Here is a 27,564-nt window from a genome sequence, read left to right on the forward strand (position 1 = left end):
ACCTGTGTTACTTTGCATTGTGAATTATTTGAAAAGACTCAGCAAATATAAAGACCAGTGGTAACCAAATCTAGCACAAGAATTAAGAGAAGGGCATTCAGTAATTAATAACCTCTAGTAAAAGAAAAAGTATGTATAAAATTTAGTTGATCCTTTAGTTTAAGGGAAGACACTGAAATAGAAGAAATTATTCCTTTGGAGAGATCAGGAAGCTGGTAGGTTAAGATTTATATTTCCTCATGGAAGGAGAACTTAGAATTTAGTAAATGAGAAACTTGGCTATGAAGGAGTTGGCAGTGCACATGAGGAAAAAAATGAGCATCAAGCATCACTTTAGGAAAAGCTACTATCAGACACCATTGATGTCACTCTTGGATTTCACTTCGGTCATTTCCTGTTTAATGATACCACATTCAACAACTCATCTGTGTTTGGGGTCACAGAAATCAGGCAGGGGTACAGAAAGAGTGGAGAGTGTGGTATGGCTTTAGGATTAGATTATTCTACATTAACCTTTATTATATGTGACAGAAAAATTCAAAACAGTTGATCATATGAGGGAAATTAGCCAAAAGTTTGAATACTGATTATCAATGATGTGGAAACTTTCAAGAGGAAGGGAGTTTGAGTAGTAGGTTCATAAGTGGTACCCATTGCAGATGTGTCTTAAATACCCTTGTAAAAATTAACTTTTTAATTATAAAAGTTATCTATGCCAGTTGTCTAGTGGTGCTTAGTTTTTGCTAGCCCTCAGGGTAGCAAACTTTAATTTTTATTTTAATTATTAAGGTTTAATAAGTATTACAGTCACTGTCTTCAGCACACATATTTCACACTTGGGTTGAGGAACCATTGTGTGGCTTTAAGCCAGTTATTTCCTTTGTAAGCATCATTTTCCTCTAGATCTCTTTTGAACTGATTTCTAAGGTCTCTAATTGAATTGATTCCCTTCCAGTTCTTCAAACCTGCTAATTCTAAATACCGGACGATCCCTGACTTACAATAGTTCCACTTAATAACTTTTTGACTTTATGATGGTGCAAAAATGATACATTTTCAGTAGAAACTATGCTTAGAGTAACCATACATCTATTCTGTTGATAACTTTCAGTATAGTAGTCAATAAATTCCATGAGACACTCCACACTTTTTAAAAAATAAAATCGGCTTTGTGCTACATGATTTTCTCTATCTGTAGTCTAATGTAAGTGTTCTGAGCATGTTTAAGGTATGCTAGGTGAAGCTATTAGGTTCAGCAGATCAAGTGAATTTAATGTATTTTTGACTTAACAATATTTTCAATTTATGATGGATTTATCAGAACATAACCCTATAAGTTGAAGTGCTTCTATATTCCATTCTATTGTCAATGTCCTTATTTTGCCACTAGATGGCAATTGTGTACCTTCGAACCCAGTCCCCTCTGGGTTTTCAGAATCTGGGGCATCTGGAGAACTCAGGAATTTTAGCCTAGTCCACCCCTGCTTATTTCACACTTGGGGAACTGAGACTCATAGGTTAAGTGACATAGCCAGGGTCGTAACAGTTACTCAGAGCCACTTGAATCCCAGTCGTCTTTCTCCTCTATCACACTCTAGGGGACTTTGTGAGGGAAATTCAAAGAAACCATGCTCTCAACCTTTTGAGTTCTTTGTGAATTATTTTTAAAATAATTTAAAGCCATTGGTTAAGTACAGGTATTATCACATTCAAAATAAACAGTTGGCCTGCTTTTGTGTTTCTCTATTGGCTCCCTGAGACAGAAACGCTAGACAGTCAGCTTTGAAAGGTTATTGGCTGCATACAGCCAGCTTGCCTTCACGATTTGCCCTGGAAATAAGCTCTGCAGAAATCTCAACCAGGGCCTCTCTATCAGGTGATTATCTCCCTCCATTCTTGCCCCATCCTGTGGCCACCCATTTTTCTATGTTTTCTTTTGTCCACCTGACTAGCCCAATCAAGAGAGCGTTTGTGGGGGAAGAGATATGCTCCTGGTTCTTAAAGAATTATCTTTTGGGTTTTCCCAGCACATGTTAACTGCCCTGTTTCCCCCTCTCTCTTTATTGGTGACAAGGATGGTATTGCCATAAATCATGGCTTGTGTATAGGCAGAATGGTGTTGTCGGAGGCAGAGAGGACGTGGTCTTTGGAGTCACACTGACTGTGTCGAACCTCTCCTCTGTCTGTGACTGACTCTGACTCTTTGTCGCCTCTCTTAGGAGAGTGAGATTGACCACCTTGCAGGGTGGGTGTGAGGAACGCATGAGTAATGTGTGGAAAGCTCATGGTGTCAGTGCTTGGCACACATAGCAGATGCTCATTAAGAGCTAATTATTTTGGTTGTTATTGTAAAGAGAGGAACAGGAGTAACTATAATATATGAAAGAAGCTCAAGGGAGGATCTCAGCCAAAGGAGCTAGTTTTTTATTGGAGAAAGAAGGGAAGGATGCAAGGTATTCCAGGGCCTATGTCAGTGTTTTAGAGAAATAGTGTAACTGTGTTAATAATGGTAGCCACTAGCCATGTGTGACAATGGACACTTGAAATGTGACTAGTTGAAATTGATCCATGCTGTGTTGAATTCACATCAAATTTCACAAATTTGTGTTGAATTCACATCTTTGAATTCACATCAAAGACTTGGTGTGAAAAAGTGGATATAAAATGTCTCAATAACTTTGTATAGTAATAATATATTGAAGGAATCGCATATTGGATATGTAGAGTTAAATAAAATGTTATTAAAATAAATTTCACCCTTCCTTTTACTTTTTTTTTTTTTTTTGAGACAGAGTCTCATTTTTTAGCCCAGGCCAGAGTGCAGTGGCGTGATTGTGGCTCACTGCAACCTCCACCTCCCGGTTCAAGTGATTCTCCCACCTCAGTCTCCCGAGTAGCTGGGATTACAGACGCATGCCTGCTCATTTCTTTTGTATCTTTAGTAGAGACAGGGTTTTACCATTTTGGCCAGGCTGGTCTTGAACTCCTGACCTCAAGTGATCTGCCCACCTCAGCCTCCCAAAGTGCAGGGATTACAGGCATGGACCACCTTCCTTTGACTTTTTGAAATGTAGAAAATATAATGAGGCTACTAGCATGATACTTTTATGTGATAGCACTGGACGAGAAGATAGAGATTTTTGTACCCAAACATATACAACTATGTTCTGAGGAATCGAGAGAGGTTTTTTTTGAAGCTTCTTTTGATTTTGTTTTTCTTTTATGATGTTCTGTTCTTAAGAGTATGACTATTCTGAACTGAGATGCCAGTCACTATTGGTAATAGCAGTTTAAGTAATAGTTTAAAAAGAAAAAAGTAAAAGAGGCACCAAATATTGTCTGTAGTCCCCCAAATTCTGAAGACCTCAAAAAAGAAAAGCCATTGGATGATTTCAAAGAACACCACTGTGTGCAAAGCTCATTTCCCTTCTTGTTGTCAGTAGATAAAACCTAGCAGTTAACGATCCTAGGATTTTTCCTTCCAATGCAAAGTATTAAAACACTGCAAAAATAACCAAGAGTAAAAGGAAAAGAGAACCATAATACTTAATGTTAAATTAAGTCATCTGTCTGATTTTCATTAAATTTGTTTTGGTTTTAAAGACATTGGTTACAAACCATTCAGTAGTTTTAAAAATTAAAAATAAAAGATAACCTCATCACCAGTCTGTTTTAGAGCTAGAAGGTAATTGCTAATTTTGGACATTTGCAACCCTTGTAAATCTTCTTAGATGGATTTAAAAATGAAGTTTTTATTTAGATTTTGAATTTACATGTGTTTTTGTTTGTTTGTTTGTTTTTGAGACGGAGTCTCGCTCTGTCACCCGGGCTGGAGTGCAGTGGCGCCATCTCAGCTCACTGCAAGCTCCACCTCCTGGGTTCACGCCATTCTCCTGCCTCAGCCTCCCGAGTACCTGGGACTACAGGCGCCCACCACCACGCCCGGCTAATTTTTTTGTATTTTTAGTAGAGATGGGGTTTCACCGTGTTAGCCAGGATGGTCTCGATCTCCTGACCTCGTGATCCACCTGCCTCGGCCTCCCAAAGTGCTGGGATTACAGGTGTGAGCCACTTTGCCCGGCCACACATGTGGTTCTTATAACAACACATGGGAAATAGTATCTGTTCTTTGCTGATGCAGAAAACAAGCAGAGCACATGCATTTTGAGGACCTTGAGGTCAGTTCTCATTGTTCTTGATTTAGTCTCAAAATAAGAATCCCTTATTCCAAGTAAACTTGGTATCATAATTCTTTGTATCTAAGATGCCATCGGTTGTAAGAAGTACCTTTAAGTACCACTTTGTATAGAAAAAAAAATGTTGCCAATAAAACTGATAAGCTATTGGTTTTTCAGATGCATCTCTATTTCAGAAATGTTAAATGGTGGGGAAAAAAGTACACTTTAACATTGATGAAATATAATACACAGATTTTGAAACTTTTTACTTGGTTGGAGTTTAGAGAGCTTGTTTTACATGTTAGCATCAGACTTTAGGTTCTCTCAGAATGTATCATGTTCAGCAAGTGTGGTTTGGTGCATTGAAGCTCTTTTCATTTAATTTTATTAAAAAACAGATGAAAGCAAAGTGGTGAGCTCATTTTTAGGTTGTTGAAAGTTCCATGATTCAAAAAAGTGAACTTCTAACTTTTAGTTTCAACCTAGTACCTCTGCTTCTGCCCCCTCCCAGTAGACATATATCCATCCTCTTTTCAGTCATTACCTGTCCCTCTAACAAAATCTGTTCTCCATAAAGGCTCCTGATAACAGTTATTTATAGCCTCCTGTGAATTCATGGCAAAGCGTTAAATGGCCCAAGTCTGCTTGCTTTCTAAGCTTTATCTCTAATTACTGGCTAAAAATCTTTATCTGCTTAAAGAACTTTCAGGCCTCTGCTAGCCACATGGAACAAGTTTTGTGGGAATGGCTGAAGGAGGAGTGATGTAGAGGCAGCCTCCTACTCTGCCTCTATGGAAGGCTGTGGATAGAGAACAGAGTACCTCATTTTCTTTCCTAACCTAAACTGTCCAAGTAAATCTGACAGCTGGCTCAGTGCCTTTCTGGAAGTCAGTAAGAAAGGAGACTTCGATCTGCTTATAAAGTTGCCTTTGCTGACTGTTGGAAGGAAAACAACTCATAATAGCTGCATTTCTGACTAATTCCATTGAATTTTTGTTAGTTTTTTGTGTTTTTGTTTTTGTTTTGTTTTGTTTGAGATGGAGTCTCACTGTGTTGCCCAGGCTGGAGTGCAGTGGTGCAATCTCAGGTCACTGCAGCCTCCACCTCCTAGGTTCAAGCGATTCTCCTGCCTCAGCTTCCCGAGTAGCTGGGATTACAGGTGCACACCGTCATGTCCGGCTAATTTTTGTATTTTTAGTTGAGACGGGGGCTTCACCATGTTGGTCAGGCTGGTTTTGAACTCCTGACCTCAAGTGATCCGCCCACCTCGGCCTCCCAAAGTGCCGGGATTACAGGTGTGAGCCACCACACCCAGCCGAATTTTTGTTAGTTTTATCTCCCTTTTGACAGAGGCTATTGAATTTTAAGGAAATATTATGATGTACAGATTTTTTTTTGTAATCTGAATAGCTACTTCCTATTTTATCTGTTTTCTAAATCTCAGTGTTTACACATCTAATTGGCTTAGGTCATACTTTACATTTTGAGTAACTATTTGGTAATCCAGATTCTGAACCTCCTTTTTCTAAATTAATTTCAGGCATGCCTAAAGCAGATATATGCTAGGGCAGTTTGGCTCTTGGTTAAGCTGCAGAAGTTCTTGTGGTCTAGTTTGAAGATGAAAACAGAAATTTCTTTTTTTGAGTTTGTAATACATTCATCAGTTGTGAATCTGCTGATACTTTGTATATGGTGGTCCCTCAGAATGCATGGGGGATTGCTTCCAGGCGTCACCGCCCCCAACCCCAATACCAAAATCCATGATGCTCAAGTCCATTGTATAAAATGCTGTAGTATTTTCTTATGACTTATGTACATCCTCCTATATACTTTCAATCATCTCTTGATTACTTGTGGTACCTAACACAGTGCAAATGCTATATAATTTGTATTGTTTAGGGAATAATGACAAGAAAAAAATGTTTGTACATGTTCAGTAGAGATGCAACCATCCAGTTTTTTTTTCTCCAATATTTTCACTCTGCAGCTGATTGAACCCACAGCCAACATGCCCAGTAAGGAGTTTGGTTTACACTAAGTATGGACTTTTTCCGTGAAACATATGCAATAATATTGCACTTTTTCAGTGTTTACATTGAAAATTATATGGAAAAATTTACCTCCATTGCTAAATATTCTACATTTAAACTAAATGTAAGGCAAATATTTATTATATAGCTCTGCATTCTTTCTAGGAGTGTGTTTGTTGATAGCATCTTAATAATTTTCAGATTACATTCTGTAAATGTTTCTGTGTGTTTGAATGACTTTGACTTTTGGTCTTTGCAGCTCGGGGTGTGGTTTTCTCTCGGTTGTGCCTATTTGGCCTTGGAAGACTATCAAGGTTCAGCAAAGGCATTTCAGCGCTGTGTGACTCTAGAACCCGATGTAAGTTTGTTTGATCTTCTGTCCTTACGTGGCTCTTTACTCTCTAAGTTGTTGAAATTGTACTGTATGGTTCAGAACAGCAATTCCTTTTGTGTTGGAGGAAAGTGTACATTTGAGGGAAGGTCGTACCTCAAGGTATAGGATTTATAAATCTGGAAATAAGTTAATATTTCATGGTTTCATTTAGGAAATAATTTTGATAAAACAATTTTCTTGTTAAAAATATACTTCACTGAATGTATAGCAAAGTATCATATATATTTTGTCATTCATTAGTATGTCCTGCCTATGTTAATTGCATTACTAGAAAGTTATTTTAGGGTGGAGTCTTTTTATATTTGATAGTTTTATGAGATAATAATTCACATACCATATAATTCACCTATTTAATATATACAATTCAATGATTTTTAGTATAGTTAGAATTGTGCAACCGTCCACTACAATTAGCTTTAGATCATCTTTATTACCCTAAAGAGAAACCCCTGTACCCATTAGTTGTCACTCCCTATTTCTCTCCAAACATCCTCCCCTTCAGCCCTAGGCAAACACTAATGTGCATTTTGTCTCTATAGATTCACCTATTATGAACATTTCATATAAATGGATTCATACTTTTTGTGGGCTCTTGTGACTGGCTTCTTTCTTAATGTTTTCAAGATTCATGCATGGTTATAGCATGCTTCAGTACTTTGTTCCTTTTTATGACCAAATAATATTCCATTGTGTGGGTATATCACATGTTATTTATCCATTCATGAGTTGGTAGACATTTGGATTGTTTCCACTTTTTGGCTATTATAAATATCACTACTATAAACATTTGTTTATAAGCTTGAGACCAACATATGTTTCCATTTCTCTTGGTTATATACCCAGTAGTAGAGTTGCTGGATCGTATGGTAGCTCTATATTCAGAATTTTGAGGATCTGCCAGACTGTTTTCCAAAGTACCATTTTAGGCCGGGTGTGGTGGCTCACGCCTGTAATCCCAACACTTTGGGAGGCCAAGGCCGGTGGATCACTTGTGGCCAGGAGTTCAAGACCAGCCTGGCCAACATGGTAAAACCCCATGTCTCCTAAAAATATAAAAATTAGCTGGGCGTGATGACGCATGCCGTGGTCCCAGCTACTCAGGAGGCTGAGGCGGGAGAATCACTTGAACCTGGGAGGCGGAGGTCGCAGTGAGCAGAGATTGCGCCACCTTACTCCAGCCTGGGTGACAGAGCAAGATTCTGTCTCAAAAAAAAAACAAACAAATAAAAAACAAAGTACCATTAGTCCCACTAGCAATGTATGAGGGTTCCAGTTTCTCAACATCCTTGACAACACTTGTTACTAGCTGTCTTTTTTATTATATCTGTTCTAGTGGGTGGCATCTCATTGTGGTTCAATTTGCATGTTTTGGATGGCTAATGATGTTGAGCATCTTTTCACATGCTTCTTGGCCATTCGTATATCCTCTTTGGAAATGTCTATTCACATCCTTACCCATTTTTAAAATTGGGTCATGTATCCTTTTATCATTGAGTTGTAAGAGTTCTTTCTATATTCTAGCTACAAGTCCCTTGTCAGACAAATGATTTGCAAATATTTTCTCCCATTCTGTTAAGTTTTTTTTTTTTCTCTCTATTGATTGTGCACTTTAAAGCACAAAAGCCTAATCTTGATGAGGTCCAACTTACCTGTTTTTTCTTTTGTTGCTCATACTTTTGGTACAATATCTAAGAATCCATTGCCAAATCCAAAGTCACAAAGATGTACTCCTATCTTTTCTGCTAGGAGTTTTATAGTTTTAACTCTTTCATTAAGGTCTAGGGACCATTTTAAGTTAATTTTATTTATGATATAAGGAAGGGGTCCAACTTCATTCTTTTACATGTAGATATCCAGTTGTCTCAAAACTTTGTTGAAAAGACTATTCTTTTCCTATTAATAGTCTTGTCACTCTGGTCAAAAATCAGTTTACTGTAAATGTAAGTGGTCAAAAATTAATTGACTGTAATGTAAGGATGTATTTATGGTCCATCAATCACATTTCATTGACTGTATGTCACATTTCATTGACTATAGGTCTGTGCATATTCCACTGTCTTGTTTACAGAAACTTTGTAGTAAGTTTTGAAAATGCTGTGAGTACTCCAACTTTGTTCTTCCTTTACAAGATAGTTTTGGCTATTCAGCATTCCTTGAATTTTCCTATGGGATTTTTAGCTTTGTAAATTTCCCCAAAAGACCTTATATTGAATCTGCAGGTGAATAAGGGGAGTACTGCCATCTTAATAATATTAAGTCTTTTGATCCATGAACATGGAATGTCTTTACATTTTTCTAGGTTTCTTTCATTTCTTTTAATATCTTATAGTTTTCAGAGTGTAAGTTTTACACCTCTTTTGTTAAGTTATTCCAAAGTGTTTTATCCTTTTTCATACTATTATAAATGGAATTATTTTCTTAATTTTATTTTTTATTTTTTTGAGACAGAATCTTGCTCTGTTGCTCAGGCTGAGGTGCAGTGGTGCAATCTCGGCCTACGGCAACCTCCGCCTCCCAGGTTCAAGCAATTCTTCTGCCTCAGCCTCCCGATTAGCTGGGATTACAGGTGTGCAGCACCACGCCTGACAAATTTTTGTATTTTTAGTAGAGATGAGGTTTCTCCATGTTGGCCAGACTAGTCTCAAACTCCTGACCTCAGGTGATCTACCTGCCTCAGCCTCCCAAAGTGATGGGATTACAGATGTGAGCCACTGTGCCAGGTCTAAATTTTATTTTTGGATTGTCTATTGTTAGCATATAGAAACACAGTTGATTTTTATATATTAATTATATCTTGCAACCTTGCTGAGCTCATTTATTACTTCTAGTAGGTGTTTTTTTTTTTTTTGTGGACTCCTTAAAATGTTCTATATAAAAGATCTAAATTTAATGTTTTATTTGAGAAGAAAGAATTGCAATTTGGGGCGTATATGCATGCCAGGTAGTCTTTGAATGTCTGAAGAACAAGGAGAAGGTTAGAAGTTTTATTAAAAGGAGAAATGTTACATATTGCTCTTTGAGAAATTCATTGGCACTTACAGTAAGGGTTTGGGGAGCTGGCAAGCTTCCATTGATGAGGGATGGCAGAGTGCAAAATTAGTCCCAGAGTTTCAGCAAATTATCTCAGAAGCTGCAGATAAAACTGGTTTCAGGTTACGACAAGCAGTTCCAGCAGTCAGGCTGCTTTCATTTGGATATTTTAACAGCTTTAATGTCTCTACTAACATTCCCCCAAACATTCTCTCATTATGTTCATGTTTTCCTTTAAATCTTTGAACATGTTTATAATAACTGCTTTGAAATCCTGTGCTTATTTCAACGTCTCTTTCATTTCTGGTACTGTTTCTTATTAACTGATATTTTTTCCCTTTGGTTATGAAGGAAATTTTCCTGCTTCTTCCCATGTCCGCCATTTTTTAAAAAAATTGTATTCTACACCTCGTGGATGCTGTGCTGTTGTGCTTCTTGGTTTTATTCTGTTCTTTTAAGGAAGATTGAGTTTTATTCTGGCATTCAGTTAAATTATTCCTAAATCAGCTTGTTTTTAAGCTTGTTAAAGTGGGTCTGGAGTTGTCCTTATTTTCTCATAACTCTTTAAAAAAAAAAATCAATGGAGATGGAGCCTTGCTCTCTTGACCAGGCTAGTCTCAAACTCCTGGCCTCAAGTGATCCTCCCATCTTGGCCTCCTAAAGTGCTGGGATTACAGATGTGAACCACTGCACCCAGCCCTCTAATAACCTTTTCTTAAGGTATAACCTCTCTGGGATTGAATTTAATGCCATGGGCAATCAATAAGAACTCTCCAGTTTTGCTAGTTTAGAATTTGAATAACTTCTAGCACAGTGTGACCTCCAAAATCTCCATTCAGCTCACAGCTTTCTGGTAGTTATTCTTTGCCAGACTTCAAAAAGTTACTAATTTTGCCAAGTCTGGAAGTGGAAGTCCACTGCCACTTAATTTTTGAGTCATATGTGTGGGACTTGAGAATGATATATACTATATTAGATGAAAAGTGGAACAAAGAGAAATAGATAATTTATATCATTCTTGTTTGAATCAACATTTGTATAAATTTAACCTGATTAAGCTGATTTAAAAAAACATTCATTTTTGCTTTATTTTTGTCATTGGGTAGAGGAATAGGTAGAGAAATATCTTTGATGGATGAAATACTTAGTAGTAACACTGGAGAACAGATTTTTTCTTAACCCCCCTATCCGGTGAAGAAGGATGACAGTATAATGGCAAAAATTTTTAAGATAGGAAAAAACAGTATACTGCATTGCCTTTTTTGTAATAAATCTATGTACTATATAGAGTATGTTGTATTAGTTATTTTGTAAGTCTAAATTTGAAAATAAAATCTTAACTGAATTGCTAATTGGTACAATAATAGTTACATTGCATAGTTGATTGTTTTAACCTTTTTCTAAATTATAAAAGTTCAGTTTGATTTAATTTTGCCATATACCTTTAAACACACTCTTATTGAAAATTGTGGTTTTAAAGAGCATATATTGGACTAGGAGAGTGTGTTGTACTTTTGGTTTAAGCAATAATTTTACCTAAATGAGAAGAGTTAATTAACTGTGTTCTCTATCATTTCAGAATGCTGAAGCTTGGAACAATTTGTCAACTTCCTATATCCGATTAAAACAAAAGTAAGTACATCAGACAAATATGAAGAAATTTGCTTCCCAAATAAATGAATGAGATTTTCTACAACTGAACATTGTTTCAATGTTTCTCCTTGTTTTACCTTTCTCGCCCATGTATATGAAATAGAATAACTTAAGTAGAAAAACTTAATTCAAACTAAATTAACTTGAATTCTAAATATACAGTTTATTTCTTAAAAACATTTCATATGTAATAAAATAAGAAATGTTACTTGAAATCTTTATTTATTACTGAAGTTTTACATTCTACATTTTATTACATGATAAAAGCAAACATATGTTTAGTTGGTCAACTCAGTTGACAGTTATTTTTATTCATTGCTTGCTTTGTACTAGACATTATTGAGAAATATAAATAAATATGAACCAATGTCTTCAGGGAATGTAGGTTTAAAAAATAAAATACTACGCCATCTTATTTAAAAAATTGATTAGTATATAAGCTATCTGTGGCAAATACCAAATGAGAATATAAAGAGGGCTAAAATAATCATACATGATACTTGTAGCACACTTATTATGTGCCAGCCACTCATTTAGTCTTGTGAGGATCAAAGAAGAGAGAAATCATGTCATCCTGGATCAGAAATGCTTCTGAGAGAATGTTGGACTCAAGCAGAAATTTGAAGGATGGATAGAAGGGACAGAGGGGAGCCTCTTAGGCAAGAGAAATGATGTGACCAAATGCAGAATGACAGGAATGAATGTAGTATTTTAGGAGATAAGAAGCAAAATAGTCCAGCTATGATGTGAAATATACGGTGAGAGATAAGGTTAGAAAGGTAGGTTGAAGTAAAATTGCTGCATCTTCTGATTATTTGACCAATGATTGAGACTGTCCTGTTGAGAATAGGAAGCCAGAGATTTCAGTGTGGTAATCTCATGAAGAAAGAAGCTTTTGGGGAAGATTTATCTGGTGGCAGTATATGAGGCAGACTAGAGGAAACTGCAGGCTGGGAAACCAGTTAGGACACAGCTGTTGTAACAATTCAGGCATGAGATAACTAGAGTGGAAAAAGAAGGGGCAGATGCCAAACTCTTTATAAAGGAGAAAACCAACTAAACGGGCTTATTGACTGGCTATGAAAAGCGAAGGAAAGGGAGGAGACAAGGACTGCTGTTGCCAGAACTCTAATAAATTAAAGGATGGATATATTTTCATTTTTATTTGGCCTTACTTTCAAACTTAATTTAATTTTTCTTGGTGGAATCACAAGATAATTTCTGAAGACATCATTAAATCCATATTACGTAGAGATCATGAAATGCTGCCTCTGCTCTTGGATGACATAAATAAAGTCTATCTGTTCTACCATTCTCTTTAGAAGATCATATTATGTTCTTGATTGCAACTGATAGTGCTAAAACTCTCTGGAGACCTTTTTGGTTTAAAGCAACAGGCTCGGAAGTCCCTGTCATAGTTGTAGAATGATCTCAGTGAGTTTTTCTGGCAACCCGGATAAGTTTGTACATAGTGAAGCTCTTGATACCTTGTCTTCCAGCCCAATCATGTTAGGAATTCTGCTTTCTCTCTTAGGGGTTCTTGCATATTGTTTCTCGACTTTCTTACCTCTTGCAGCTCCACAAATAGGTTTTCATGCAAAGGTGGAGTTGTAAGGTCTGAGATAAATCATTTCTTTATTCTTTCCTGTTTACTCTTTTCTTTCTTTGCTAAGGTTCTAGACAAAGCTAATGGGATTGTTACTTCTGAGGCAATTATTAATGCTTCTCTCAGAAGATCCTATTCATGCCTTAAAACGGCCCATTAAACTTTCTTTTATCCTTTTGTGGTCACAAGATTCTTCACTAAAGTGCTCTCTTTGCTGTTTCAACTGATTCCCCTCGATATCATGTTCCTATCAGTCCCATGTAAAAATGTCTATATTCGGATGTAATTTTAATGGTGCAATATCTCTACTATAGAGGGGTTTTGATAAGTGAATCCTGAAGTGAAGCACCTTACAAAGAAGCTGTATTTACCAAAAAGGAAAAAAGGATTCATGGAACAATTTTGAGGCTAGGAAATTATGATTAGGGGGATCATAAGGGAGGACATATAGGAAAAAGGATAATCCTCATGGTGTGGATTTTTACTTGTTGAGTTCACCCCCAACCCCTGTGGATGGGAGAGCTGGGGAGTCTTGGTCCAAAACTGTTGGAGGCAGTTGTTATTAGATGGAGGTGGTGATGTGGTAGAGTAGAGAAAGGAAAAAAAGAAAAAAATATTCCATGGAACAATTTATGACTGAAATTGAAGACATGTTTCCTTTCTTTTTGAGTTCCCTTGTATTTTTGCAAGAAGGAATCCCTGAGATAGTTCTCTTAGAGTCAATAGATGGTAAATGCTCTTAACCTTTGTATATCTAAAAATGTTTCATTTTGCATTTACTCTTGAGTGGTAAGTTTAGCTGATGATAAAATTTTGGCTGACAGTTATTTTCACTCAGCACTTTAAAAGTAGTATTCTGTTGTCTTCTGTCATCTTACTGCTGATGAAATAAACATCTGTCTTCACTTCTTTGTAGATTTTAGGAATATCTTTCCTAAATTTCACACAATATTTCTAGATGTTCATTTATCTTTACTTATAATGCTCAGTATGTGAAATATACTTTTGATCATAGAATTTATGATCAAAATTTTTTTTGAAATTTGTTCATTTCTGGAAAATTCTCTGCTTTTATCTTTGGATATAAAGAATCCTGCCATGCTCTGCATTTGTTTACTGTAGAATCTCTATCAGATGTATGTTTGAGTCTTACCTCTCATTCTTTCCTCTCTTTCCAGCTTTTATTTTATAATTCGAATTCTGTGTGAACTCCTTACTATTATCTTCCAATGCATCAGTTTCTCCTTGACTATGTGCATTCTAGTTTTTGTTAGCTATTGAGGGTTTTGTTTTTGTTTTTTGTTTTTTGAGACAGAGTCTCGCTCTGTTGCCCAGGCTGGAGTGCAGTGGCGCGATCTCAGCGCACTGCAACCTCCACCTCCCGGGTTCAAGCGACTCTCCTGCCTCAGCCTCCCAAGTAGCTGGGACTACAGGCATGTGCCACTATGTCCAGCTAATTTTTGTATTTTTAGTAGAGACAGGGTTTCATCATGTTGGTCAGGATGGCCTTGATCTTCTGACCTTGTGATCCACCATCCTCAGCCTCCCAAAGTGCTGGGATTAGAGTTGTGAGCCACTGTGCCTGGCCTGTTGTTGTTTTATTGCCTCTTTCAATACTGAAATTTCCAGTTATTTTATTCACATCTCCTTGTTCTTATTTCATTTCTCCCTGTTTTTGTTTCACAATTTTCTGTTCCTTTTCAATGTAAATTATTTCTTTGTCTCTTTCAGTATTCTAAACAAGTTTATTTAAAGGCTTGACAAATTGTTAAACAATTAAGAAAAACTTTTTGTCACTCCTCCCTCTCCCCCTTAAAATCAATTTTTTTTTTTTAACATGGAGTCTTGCTCTGTTGCCCAGGCTGGAGTGCAGGGGTGTGATCTTGGCTCACTGCACCCACGGCTTCCCAGGTTCAAGTGATTCTTGTGTCTCAGCCTCCTGAGTAGCTGGGATTACAGGCACATGCCACCATGCCCAGCTGCTTTTTTTGTTTGTTTGTTTTTGTATTTTTTATTAGAGATGGGGTTAGCCTCTGTTGGCCAGGCTGGTCTCGAACTCCTGACCTCAGGTGATCCACCCACCTCAGCCACTCAAAAAGTGCTGGGATTATAGATGTGAGCCACCATGCCTGGCCACCTTAAAATTTTGTCGTTAGTAAATTTATGTCCTGTTGACTAGTTTTGTTGACTGAAGGTTTTTTTCTCACAGGGTGTAGAATTTTGGTTTGCAGCATTTTGGTTGCAGATTCATGAGGAGTGTGTTGTTTTGTTTTGACCTCCTTGCCTCTGGTCCCTCCACTACTGTCTGCACCTTTTGTCTTACAGGTTTGCAATTGTGCTTGCTTGGCCACTCTGACTCCAGATTTGGAACTTGAGTGTGCCTTCTCCTGAGGTGATACTGGGATTGATACCTAGTTTTAAAATAATGTCCTTGTTACCAGTAAATAGATTAGGAAAGGAATATCTCTGTATGTATGCTACATATGCCATAGGGTCTGTCACTGAATTTTGTAGGGAAGTTTGAGTTGGTTTTGTGTTGTCTGGGTCTCTAATTCTGTTTGTTTATATGAACGAATAAGGACGGACAGTCCACATTAGTATTTTATACATTTAGCTATGCTTTATTCTAATAAAAAAAGAGTTCATTATTGCTCTCTTTAAAATTTGACCTTCAATAGAGTAAAAGCTTTTAGAACTTTACAAGAAGCTCTCAAGTGTAACTATGAACACTGGCAGATTTGGGAAAACTACATCCTCACCAGCACTGACGTTGGGGAATTTTCAGAAGCCATTAAAGCTTATCACCGGCTCTTGGACTTACGTGACAAATACAAAGATGTTCAGGTAGGATATTCCTATTCCGTTATTTCAGTTTGTGTTTGATACTAATCCTTGATCATATGGTATAAATTATTTCCTTGAATATGCACAGGAAAATTTTGTTAAACACATGTAACATATGAAAAGGGTATTTTTTTCTAGTCAAATATTCTTCATGATATATAGAATTCTGCTATTCTAATGTCAAATTTGTTTGTACAGTCATAAACTGAATATTACTCTGACTCAGTTATGAAAATCTGATATGTGGGTTACATATATAGTCACTTTGCAGAAACTAAATAAAACACTGTGTTACTTAGTACTTTGGGTATCTCTGTGTGTTCTCTGACTTTTGGTAGCTGGAATAAATCCTATACTCACTTGTTCATTCATTTAACAAGCATTTACTGCATACCTTCAGATGGTATGAACAATATATAGAGGATGGCTAACATTTTCTTTGCAATGTTTCATGAGATGGTGCTGTGTTTGGTGGAATAAAGTTATCCCTCCAGAAAGTATGGGAGATTCAAAGCTGTTGTGTCATCCAAAATATTAAATAAAAAAGACCATTTTGGTTTAATTGTAGTTGAAGACAATATGCTGTCTTCAGTGTAAAGTGATACTCTGAGATCATGCCACTGCACTCCAGCCTGGGTGACAGAGCAAAACTCTGTCTCTAAATAAATAAATAAATAAATAAACAAAACTGAATGGAATGATAGCCAAGTGAATGGAGAGATAGCAGAGTTTTACATCCCTAGAAAGGGTAGGGGCTCTAGTGAATCTGTTTGCACAGTCCCCTGACAGTCAATAGTTGTCCTGTTAACACTGCTGAAATTTTCCATTGAGATAGTTCTTCCTTTTCTACACTTAGCACCTTGGCAAAGGGCACTGATGAGACTCTGAACAGATCTCAGTATATTGTGACTGCTGAAAATAGTGCATATCTCTTGTTTACTGCAATTGTGATTTTTAAGATCTTTCTTTACTAGGAAAGATTTCTGAAACCTGTTCCTAAAATCTCAAGGAGAATGTAAATTATTTATATTTGTAGTATATTCCATCTTACAGTTGAAAGAAATTCTGTTGTTTTCTTTCATATTAAAAAAAATGTACATGAAACATTCAAATCCAACACTCCTCATTTAGACATCGCTGCTGGCTCAATTCCAGCATTCTTTAGAATCACACACTGTCAGAGCAAAAAGGGACCTTAGAAGTCCTCTAGGGCCAGGCTGAATTAGTTTACACACCAAGTCAGAAAGGAGTGTGAAGCTCCCCTCCTTCCTGATAAGCTAGACAGGGGACTTCTTCAAGCTGTCAGTCTGCTTTTCTATCCTCTTGGTATTACTGCTGATAACTTGGCTGTGTCATCTCTTTCTTAATTGTCTTAGAATTGGCTTCCTTGGTCAGTCTGATCCTGTTAATCTTCTGTCCTGTGCCTCCATTTTCTAACTAATCTGCTTGTCTTTCTGTTGTGAGTGGGATTTCCCCTCTAAATCTATACTTTAACCCCAGTAATCTCCTTCATATCTGCTAAGGATTAGTAACAACTGGCTCACCAGGTTGGCTTTTTGGATCTTGAGAAAATCCTGGTCATCCTTTCATGCTTGGCACCAATAGAAGTTGTTTTATATAAGGTACCCAAATAGGTCTAGGCCTCTCTCATCCAGTAAGAGACAGACTTATTACATGTACACATGAAAGGAAGTGGCTTTTCTATTTGCTCTTATTCTCCTTCGCTTCCCAAGGCACATAGAGCAGGTCAAAGTGGTATGTGGTAAAATAACAATAATTAATATTTACTGAGGGCTTGCCGTGTGTCTGAAACTATCCTAAGCACTTCACATGTATTAGCTCATTTAATTCTCACCTCAGCTGTGGGGGATAGGATTATACTGTCATAAGCTATGTCTAACTCTGGATGGATGGATGGATCTCTCCACCTGCTTGTTTTAAGGAAATTAAAAATATCAGACAAAATAACTATTCAAAGATTGTTTGGAAAAGCTGTTACTTGTACATCATAGAGTTATAAAGTCATCAAGATAATGCCGATTTTAGTTAACTTAGATGAATTAAGTATGGCAAATCTTGCTAACTCGTGTATTCTAAAAGAAAGGCAAGAAAAAGTGAAGCAGAAGTGGTTACAATAGCTGAAAAGGTATTGAAGAATGTTACTTAAATTTCTCTTTTCTTACCACCCCTACCACCCCCAGATTAGGAGTCTCATTCTCTCTCAGGATGAAAAAACATTCTTGCTAATGTTTAGATGATACTTCTGTATTTGAGTATCTGTAAATGTGTAGGGAGAGAGGTGATATTTAGAATTATCTATTGGTAGTAACAGTGGTATTATAGATACCAAAGGATATAATTTTGGTAACAATAACCTGAGTATGTAGATAGTTGATTCTGATAAAACTTTCAGTTGTGATTTGCCCTGTTGGATGCCAAATCAAAATCATTGGAATTTTAAGAACATTTGCTTAGAAATCTTTCAGCCGGCTGGGTGCAGTGGCTTCTACCTGTAATCCCAGCATTTTGGGAGGCCAAGGCGGGAAAATTACTTGAGCCCAGGGGTTTGAGACCAGCCTGCACAACATTGCAAAACCCTTTCTCTACAAAAAAAATACAAAAAAAATTCAGCTGGGCTTGGTAATATGTACCTGTGGCTACTCGGGAGGCTGAGGTGGGAGGGTTCCCTGAGGCTGGAGAGGTTGAAGCTGCAGTGAGCCATGATCACACCACTGTACCCCAGCCTGGATGACAGAGCAAGACCCTGTCTCCAAAAAAAAAAAAAAAAAAAAAAAAAGAGAAGTCTTTCAGGAGCCTTCCCTAAGAAAGAATAAAAGGACCCAAAATGCATAGAGATGCATTTGAGCATTTTTCAGAAAAGAAAAAAAAAATCTAAAAAAAATAGCTATATTTTCCTAGTATGAATTCAGATAACGTGATTTAACTTTTATCTTAAGTAGATTTTTTCAAACATATTTTAGTGGTCATAGTCTTAGCTTTTTACTCCTGTAATCATGGGGAATTTTCAATATAGCAAAATTGTGTTCTGATTCCAATGTAACATGTTCTAATCCTGTACCTGTTTTTTTCTATTTTATGGATGTGGATTATTGCCATTAAATTTTTTTTTTGTGTGTGTGTATAAATTCATGCTTATTTTAATACAGACATAGGGTAAATTAGCCTCAAATTTTTCTGTTTTTTCCTCACTATTTGTAATTGAAGAATGAGTAGATATACTACCTTTATCATTTTCTTTCTTGTTTATCCATTTTATAATTTTATTAATAATATTTTAATTGGCAAACTCTAATTGTATACATCTATGGAGTACCATGTGATGTTTTCATATGTGTATACAATGTGGAATGATTAGATCAGGCTGATTAACATACCCACCACCTTGTTTACCTATCTTTTTATGGTGACATATTTGACATTTTACTGAGGTATTTTGAAATATACATTATCATTGACTGTAGTCACTATGCTGTGCAGAAGATCTCAAACTTAATCCTCTGTCTGAAACTTTGTATCCTTTCCCCAACAATTCCCCATTTCCTCCCCACCCCACCTCCACCCCACCCTGACGCTAGTGACCATCATTCCTTTCTGTATAGTTTGTTATTAGTATTATAGATGTGCTACTGATGTTTGTATGTTGATTTTGTATCTGAATTTATTTCATCAGTTCTAATAGTTTTTACATGGACTCTTTATGGTTTTCGCTAAGATCATATTGTCAGCAAATAGAGACAGTTTTGCTCAGTCCTTACCTATTAGAATATCTCTTATTTCTTTTTTCTTGCCTAATTGCTCTGTCTAGGACTTCCAGTACTATGTTGAAAAACACCTTTGTCCTAATTTTGACTAATGTATAGTTTGGTAAAACCCAGGAATGCTTTTCTATAATAGCACTTATTTGTATTTATTTCTAGATTATACATATTTTTATTCATCTATCATAAAACTGATTTTCATGTTCCTACATAATTAGTTCCTGTTCAGTTTTCCAGTTTTTGACTATTATAAATAATGTCATGAATATCCTTGCAGACGAATCCTCATATATAGCCATACTTCTTTCCCCAAGGTAAATTCTGATGTTGATTTGTTGGGATATTTTTCCTTTTCTTCCTTTTTTGTTTTTCTGGATACCTTGGGCAACATTTTGGGAAAATAATTTAAGTATTGCATTATTGACATTCATTTGTTGTTTATATGTGGAAGAGGAAGGAAAGGGGATTAATATATATTGAGTGCTTACTATGTTTCTGCCACTTAACACAGGTTATCTTTTATTGGGCATACAGTATGTGAGGTGGATAGTAAATACTCCTCATTTTATAGTTGATTAATATGAAACCCAGAGAGCTTATATAACTTGAGCAGTCATTTGGCTAGTAGGAACCAAAGACAGAAATCACAGGTAGGCATGTCTTATTTTTTTCTTTGTCACGCCTTGAAGTCTGTGGGGGAAGATTTATGTCAAAAGCACATTTTCCCATCATATTAATGTGCTTGTGAACTATACCTAACAAAGGTTTTTAAAAATTCAGACATAATGTGCAGATAATAAGCCAGGCATGGTGGGATGTGCCTACAGCCCCAGCTACTTGTGAGGCTACAGCAGGAGGATTGCTTAAGCCCAGGAGTTTGAGGTTTCAGTGAGCTATGATCGTGCCACCACACTCCAGCCTGGGCAACAGAGCAAAACCCCATCTCAAAAAAATATGAAATAAAATAACAAAATAAAAAAATAATTTGCAGATAATTTTAACTACATGTATTCTTATGTAATCACCACCCCAAACAGTTATGGAACATTTTCATTACTACAGAAAGTTCTCTTACATGCATTTCCAGTCAGTTGAAACACCACCTCTTTCCCCCATGAGGCAACTACTTTCTGATTTCCATCTCCACAGTTTAGTTTTGCTTTTTCTTGAATACCATATAGATAGAATCATACAGTATGTATTCTTGCATATTGAGGTTGTCCTTTGTGTGTATTTTTATTTGATGCTTTCTTTGGGGACAGGAGAAGATGGTGTTGATGTGCAGTGGGGCAAGTTGCCAATGAAATTGAAGTTCTGGGACACTTGCTGGCTGTGCATTACCCGAAAGTAAAGAGAAGAGGAGAGAATGGATATATGTTATAAAAATTATAGCTTTGGAAAATAGGTATTCTCTCCATTTAACTGTTGAGGTACCTGAGGCTCAGCAAAGTGAATTAATAAGGTTGATTTCTTATAGCTAGCGAGCAGTAAAGCTAAGGCTTGACATCTGGCGTATTTAACCTAAAGCCCTTTCCACAGTCTAAGAACTGTTTTTTGTTTTGTTTTTTGGTTTTTTTTTGAAGGACTGAAAAAGACAATGCTAAACTGCCTATCTCTCTCTGATAACTGAGGTTTGGGGAAGCCAAGGGTCAGGGTTATCAGACCAGGAAACAGAACAAGTACTTAGAGAGCTCCAAGTGGAGCAGGGAGCTAGCCAAGCAGGGGAGGTGGGAAATTGCTTCATTCTTGGCCTGGAGCCCTCCTGGTAGTTTTTGTAATGGGTTAAGGCAGTCCTATTCCTTCCTGCTTTGAGGACCTCCAGGATTCAAAGGGCCAGTGCCTTGCACTTTAGGCCAAGACTTTGATGAGACTAGCCCAAGGAAGTCAAGGTTAGTGTTGGGAAACGAATAGTTAATACATTTCTCTTTGTGGAGATTCTTCTACATTTATGTTGGAATTGCCGCTCCTCTATGTGAGAGGCCTTCAACTCTCTTCACAGGCCAGTGTTAGTTTCCCAGTCATTCTCTGCTTGTTGCATTCCCTAAGTGTGGTTCCTGATGGAGGTGAGAAATAGGGTTGGGACAGAGAATGAAACATAAGTTCTACTATTACCTAAATGAAATCAAGATGTGGGTAAGGGATTTAAAGGCCATTATATGAACTCAGTGGGATAGTATTGGTTTGGGTGGGATATGAGGGCTATAGAGCTGTTTATACTGACTAAAATGAAATCTGTCACATACAAAGAATCCTTAATAAGATTATCAGCAGATTTCTCATAATAAACTTTGGAGGCCAGCAGGCAGTGGACTGATATATTCAAAGTGCTAAAAGAAAAAAACTGTCAATCAAGAATCCTTTATCTGGCAAAACTGCCTTTCAAAAGTGAGAGAGAAATTAAGGCATTCCCAGATAAACAAAAGTTAAGGAAGTTCATTACCACTAGAACTGCCCTGCATGAAATGCTCAAGGGGGTCCTGCAGGGTGAAAAGAAAGGACACTAGACAATAACTCAACGCTGGATAAAGAAATAAAAATCTCAATAAAGATAAATATAAGAACAATTATAAAAGCTAATATTATTGTAACAATGTTTGTTGTTGTTGTTGTTTGAGATGGAGTCTCGCTCTGTCACCCAGGCTGGAATACAATGGTGCCATCTCGGCTCACTGCAACCTCTCCTTCCTGGGTTCAAGTGATTCTCCTGCCTCAGCCTCCTGAGTAACTGGGATTATAGGTGCCTGCCACCACGCCCGGCTAATTTTTGTATTTTTAGTAGAGACGGGGTTTCACCATGTTGGCCAGGCTGGTCTTGAACTCCTGACCTCAGGTGAGCCATCCACCTCGGCCTCCCAAAGTGCTGGGATTACAGGTGTGAGCCACCATACCCGGCCTGTTACAATGTTTTTTTTAACTGTACTCTTTGTTTTCCATATGATTTAAGAGACTAATACATTAAAAAAACAGTTATTAGTCTAAAAGCTAGTAGTATTGTAACTTTGTTTTGTAGCTCCATATTTTGCTTTCTATGTAATTTAAGAGACTAATGCATTAAATATATTAGTGTATGTTTTGGGGCACACCATTTATGAAGATGTAATTTTGTGACATCAACAACCAAAAGGGGTGAGTATGGCTCTGTTAGACAAGCAGAGATTTTGTATGTTAATGAATTTTATAATAGACATATATAAAACATTCTACCCAACAACAGCATACGTATTCTTCCCAAGTGCACATGGGACATTATCTAGGAGAGACAATATGATAGATCGCAAATTAAGTCTCAGTAGATTCAAAAAGATAGATGTCATAGAACGTATCTTCTCTGACTACCCCAGGATGAAATTACAAATCAATAACAGATGTAAAACTAGAAAATTCACAAAATTATGGAAAGTAAACAACACACTCTTAATCAATGGATCAAAAAAGAAATCACAAGAGAAATTAGAAAATACTTAGAGATGAATGAAAATGAAAATACAGCATACCAAAACTTGTAGGACACAGCGAAAGCATTGCTAAGGAAGAAATTTATAACTCTAAATGCTTACTTTAAAACACAAGAAATATTTCAAGTCAATAACTTAACTTTACAACTTAAAGAGCAAACTAAACCCAAGGCTAGCAGAAGGAAGAAAATAAGAATAAAGATTAGAATAGAGATAAATGAAATAGAAAGTAGAAAAATAATAAAGAAAAATCAATGAAACTAAAAATTAGGTCTTTGAAAAGATTAATAAAATGGACAAACCTTTAGATAGATGGACTAAGGAAAAAAAGAGAAGATTCAGATTACTGAAATCAGAAATGAAAATGGGGGACATTACTACTGATTCTACAGAAATAAAAAGATTATAAGAGAATATTGTGAACAAGTATATGTCAACAAAGTAGATAACCTAGATGAAATAGATAAATTCCTAGAAACACAAAACCTACCAAGACTAAATCATAAAGAAACAAGAAATCTGAATAGATGTATAACTAGTAAGTAGATAGAATCAGGAATCAAAAATCTCCCAACAAAGAAAAGCCGTGGACCTGATGGATTCACTGGTAAATTGTATCAAACATTTAAAGAAGTCACAACAATCTTTCTTAAACTTTTCCAAAAAATTGAGGAGGAAGGAACACCTCTTGGCTCATGCTATGAGGCCAGCATTACCCTGATACCAAAGCCAGACAAAGACATTACAAGAAAAAAAAAAAAAACAAACAAAACACAGACCAAAATCTCTTATGAATATTGATGCAAAAACCCTTAACAAAATACTAGCAAATTGATTCACTAGCATATTAAAAGGATTATACACCATAACCAAGTGGGCTCTATTCCTGGAATTTGAGGATGGTTTAACATATGAAATAGATCAATATAATATACTACATTAACAGAATGAGGGGAAAAAAAAATCTCACCTGATTATCTCAATTAATGTTGAAAAAGCATTTGAAAAAATTCAGCACACATTCCTGATTTAAAAAGCACTGAACAAAGTAGGAATGGAAGGAAGCAGCCTCGACATAATAAAAGCCAGGTATGAAAAACCCACAGCAAACATCATACTTAATGGTGAAAGACTGAAAGCTTCTTTTCTTATTTATTTATTTATTTATTTATTTATTTATTTATTTATTGACAAAGTGTTGCTCTGTTGCCCAGGCTGGAGTGCAGTGGCATGATCTCTGCTCACTGCAACTTCCACCTCCCAGGCTCAAGTAATTCTCCTGTGTTAGCCTCCCAAGTAGCTGGGACTACAGGCACATGTCACCATGCCCGGCTAATTTTTGTATTATTATTATTATTATTATTATTATTATTTTAGTAGAGATGGGGTTTCACTGTGTTGGCCAGGCTGGTCTTGAGCTTCTGACCTTAGGTGATCCACCCACCTTGACCTTCCAAACTGCTGGGATTATAGGTGTGAGCCACTGCTCCCAGCCTGAAAGCTTCTTTTCTAAGATCAGAAACAATTCAAGGATGCTTGCTTTCACTTCTGTTCATCACAGCACTGAAAGTTCAAGGCAGAGCAATTATACAAGAAAAAGAAGTAAAAGACATCCAAATTGGTAAGAAATAAAATTATCTGTTTGCAGATGATGTGATCTTGTATGTAGAAAATGCTAAAGAGTCCACGAAAAAGCTGTTAGAACTAATAAATGAATTCAGCATAGTAGCAGGATGCAAAGTCAGCACACAAAAATCAGCTGCATTTCTGTACACTAACAGTGAACAATCCCAAAAGGAAGTTATGAAAACAATTCCATTTACAATAGCATAAAAAATACTTTGGAATTAAGTTAACTAAGGAAGTAAAAATCTTGGACCACAAAAACTAGAAAACATGATGAAAGAGATTAAAGAAGATACAAATAAATGGAAACACATCTCATGTTCATGGATTGAAAAACTTAACATTGTTAAGTTGTCAGTACTACCCAAAGTGATGTCTGGAATTCAGCGCAGAGACTGCAGTGAAAAAATAAAGAGGATACTCAAATTACTGAAATCAGAAATGAAAATGGGGACATTACTACTGATTCTACAGAAATAAAAAGATTATAAGAGAATATTGTGAACAAGTGTATGCCAACAAAGTGGATAACCTAGATGAAACAGACAAATTCCTAGAAACTCAAAGCCTACCAAGACTAAATCATGAAGAAATAGGAAATCTGAATGGATTGGTTTTTCTCAGAAATAGAAAAACCTATCCTAAAATTCAAATGGAATCTCAAGAGACCCTGGATGGCCCAAACAACTTTTAAAAAGAACAACAAAGCTAGGGGACTCATGCTTCCTGATTTCAAAACTTACCACAAAACTGTAGTAGTCAAAACAGTGTGGAACTGGCATAAAGACAGACATACAGACCAATAGAATTGAACTAAAAGCTCAGAAATCTGTGTATATGGTCAAAGGATTTTTTTTTCTTTTTTTAAGAGACAGTGTCTCGGCTGGGCACGGTGGCTCATGCCTGTAATCCCAGCACTTTGGGAGGATGAGGTGGGCAGATCACCTGAGGTCAGGACTTCGAGACCAGCCTGGCCAACATGGTGAAACCCCATCTCTACAAAAAAATACAAAAATTAGCTGGGCATGGTGGTGCACGCCTGTAGTCCCAGCTATTGAGGAGGCTGAGGCAGGAGAATCGCTTGAACCTGGGAGGCAGAGGTTGCAGTGAGCCGAGATTGTGCCACTGCATTCCATCCTGGGAGACAGAGTGAAACTCTGTCTCAAAAAAAAAAAAAAAAAAGAGACAGTGTCTCACACTGTCGAACAGGCTGGAGTGCAGTGGCATGATCATAGCTTACTGCCACTGCAGCTTTGAACTCCGGGGCTCAAGCAGCCCTCCTGCCTCAGCTTCCTAAGTAACTAGGACCACAGGAGCATGCCACCACATCTAACAATTTTTTTTTTCCTGTGGAGACAGCGTTTTGCTATGTTGCCAAGGTTGATCTCCATCCCCTGGGCTCAAGCAGCCTGCCCGCCTCTGCTTCCCAAAGTGCTGAAATTACAAGCGTGAGCTTCTGTGCCTGACTCAAATGATTTTTGACAAGGGTGCCAAGACTATTCAATGGGGAAATTTCAACAAATTGTCCTGGGAAAACTGCATATCCACATGCAAAAGAATAAAGTTGGACCCTTACCTAACACTGTATACACATGCTAACTCAAAATGAATCAAATACTTAAATTTAATAGCTACAACTGTAAAACTCTTAAAAGTAAACATAGGGCAAGAACTTTATAACGGTAGATTTGGCAATGATTTCTTGGATATGACACCAAAAGCACAGGCAATAAAAAGAAAAAACAGACAAATTGGACTTTGTGAAAATTTAAAAATTTTGTGCACCAAAAACAGTATCAACGGAGTAAAAAGCCAACTCACAGAATGGAAGAAAATATTTGCAAGTAATATATCTGATAAGGGAATAATATCCAGAATATATAGAGGACTTCTAAAATTCAATGACAACAAAACCCCCCAAACAGCCCAATTAAAAAATGTGCAAAGGAGTTGAATAGACATTTCTCCAGAGAAGATAAACAAATGAACAATAAGCACATGAAAAGATGTGCAGCACCACTAATCATTAAGGAAATGCAAATCAAATGAGATACCACCTTACACCCACTAGGATGGCTACTAGAAAAAAAATTAAAAAAAAAAAAATAGAAAATAGGCCAGGCGCGGTGGCTCACACCTGTAATCCCAGCACTTTGGGAGGCCAAGGCGGGCAGATCATGAGGTCAGGAGATTGAGACCATCCTGGCTAACACAGTAAAACCCCATCTCTACTAAAAATACAAAAAAATGAATGGTGGCGGGCGCCTGTAGTCCCAGCTATTTGGGAGACTGAGGCAGGAGAATGGAGTGGACCCAGGAGGTGGAGCTTGCAGTGAGCCAAGATGGCGCCACTGCACTCCAGCCTGGGCGACAGAGCGCGACTCCATCTCAAAAAAAAGAAAGAAAGAAAATGGCTGGGCGCGGTGGCTCACGCCTGTAATCCCAGAACTTTGGGAGGCCGAGGCGGGCGGATCACGAGGTCAGGAGATCGAGACCATCCTGGCTAACACGGTGAAGCCCTGTCTCTACTAAAAATACAACAAAAATTAGCCAGGCGTGGTGGTGGGCGCCTGTGGTCCTAGCTACTCGGGAGGCTGAGGCAGGAGAATGGCATGAACCCGGGAGGTGGAGCTTACCGTGAGCCAAGATTGCACCACTGCACTCCAGCCTGGGCAACAGAGCGAGACTCCAGCTCAAAAAAAAAAATAATAATAATAATAATAATAATAAGTGTTGACAAGGACATGGAGAAATTGGAATCCTTGTGCGCTGTTGGTGGGAATGTAAAACAGTACAGCTGCTGTGGAAAACAGTATGGTAGTTCCTTTAAAAATCGAAAATGGAATTACCATATGGTCCAGCACTTTTACTTCTGGGTATATACCCCAAAGAATTTAAAGCAGGATCTCAAAGAGAAATGTGTATACTTACATTCATAGCAGCATTATTCACATAGCTAAAACCTGGAA

At 37.1% G+C, this 27,564-nt stretch overlaps 1 protein-coding gene across 5 annotated transcripts in view, besides 1 other annotated feature; it reads left to right on the forward strand.

Moving 5' to 3' along the window:
- Positions 1 to 27,564, forward strand: part of TTC27 (tetratricopeptide repeat domain 27) — a 193,002-nt gene that overhangs the window by 143,365 nt on the left and 22,073 nt on the right. For 3 of the 5 annotated variants that reach the window (NM_017735.5, XM_005264416.3, NM_001193509.2), the window contains 3 exons: positions 6,468 to 6,566; positions 11,212 to 11,264; positions 15,570 to 15,735. In NM_017735.5, coding sequence (NP_060205.3) covers positions 6,468 to 6,566; positions 11,212 to 11,264; positions 15,570 to 15,735 — 318 coding nt within the window. The remainder of the gene's footprint in view (positions 1 to 6,467; positions 6,567 to 11,211; positions 11,265 to 15,569; positions 15,736 to 27,564) is intronic. The other 2 variants (XM_011532958.3, XM_047444937.1) reach the window with 1 other exon arrangement.
- Positions 9,548 to 9,842: a silencer, noted in NCBI's record as "tiled region #12694; HepG2 Repressive non-DNase unmatched - State 15:Elon". NCBI's record gives its function as "represses a minimal TATA promoter and a strong SV40 promoter by Sharpr-MPRA in HepG2 cells {active_cell/tissue: HepG2}" and the evidence as "EXISTENCE:reporter gene assay evidence [ECO:0000049][PMID:27701403]".

The sequence above is a fragment of the Homo sapiens genome, chromosome 2 (genome assembly GCF_000001405.40).
Source record: "Homo sapiens chromosome 2, GRCh38.p14 Primary Assembly".
Taxonomy (NCBI): Eukaryota; Metazoa; Chordata; class Mammalia; order Primates; family Hominidae; genus Homo; species Homo sapiens.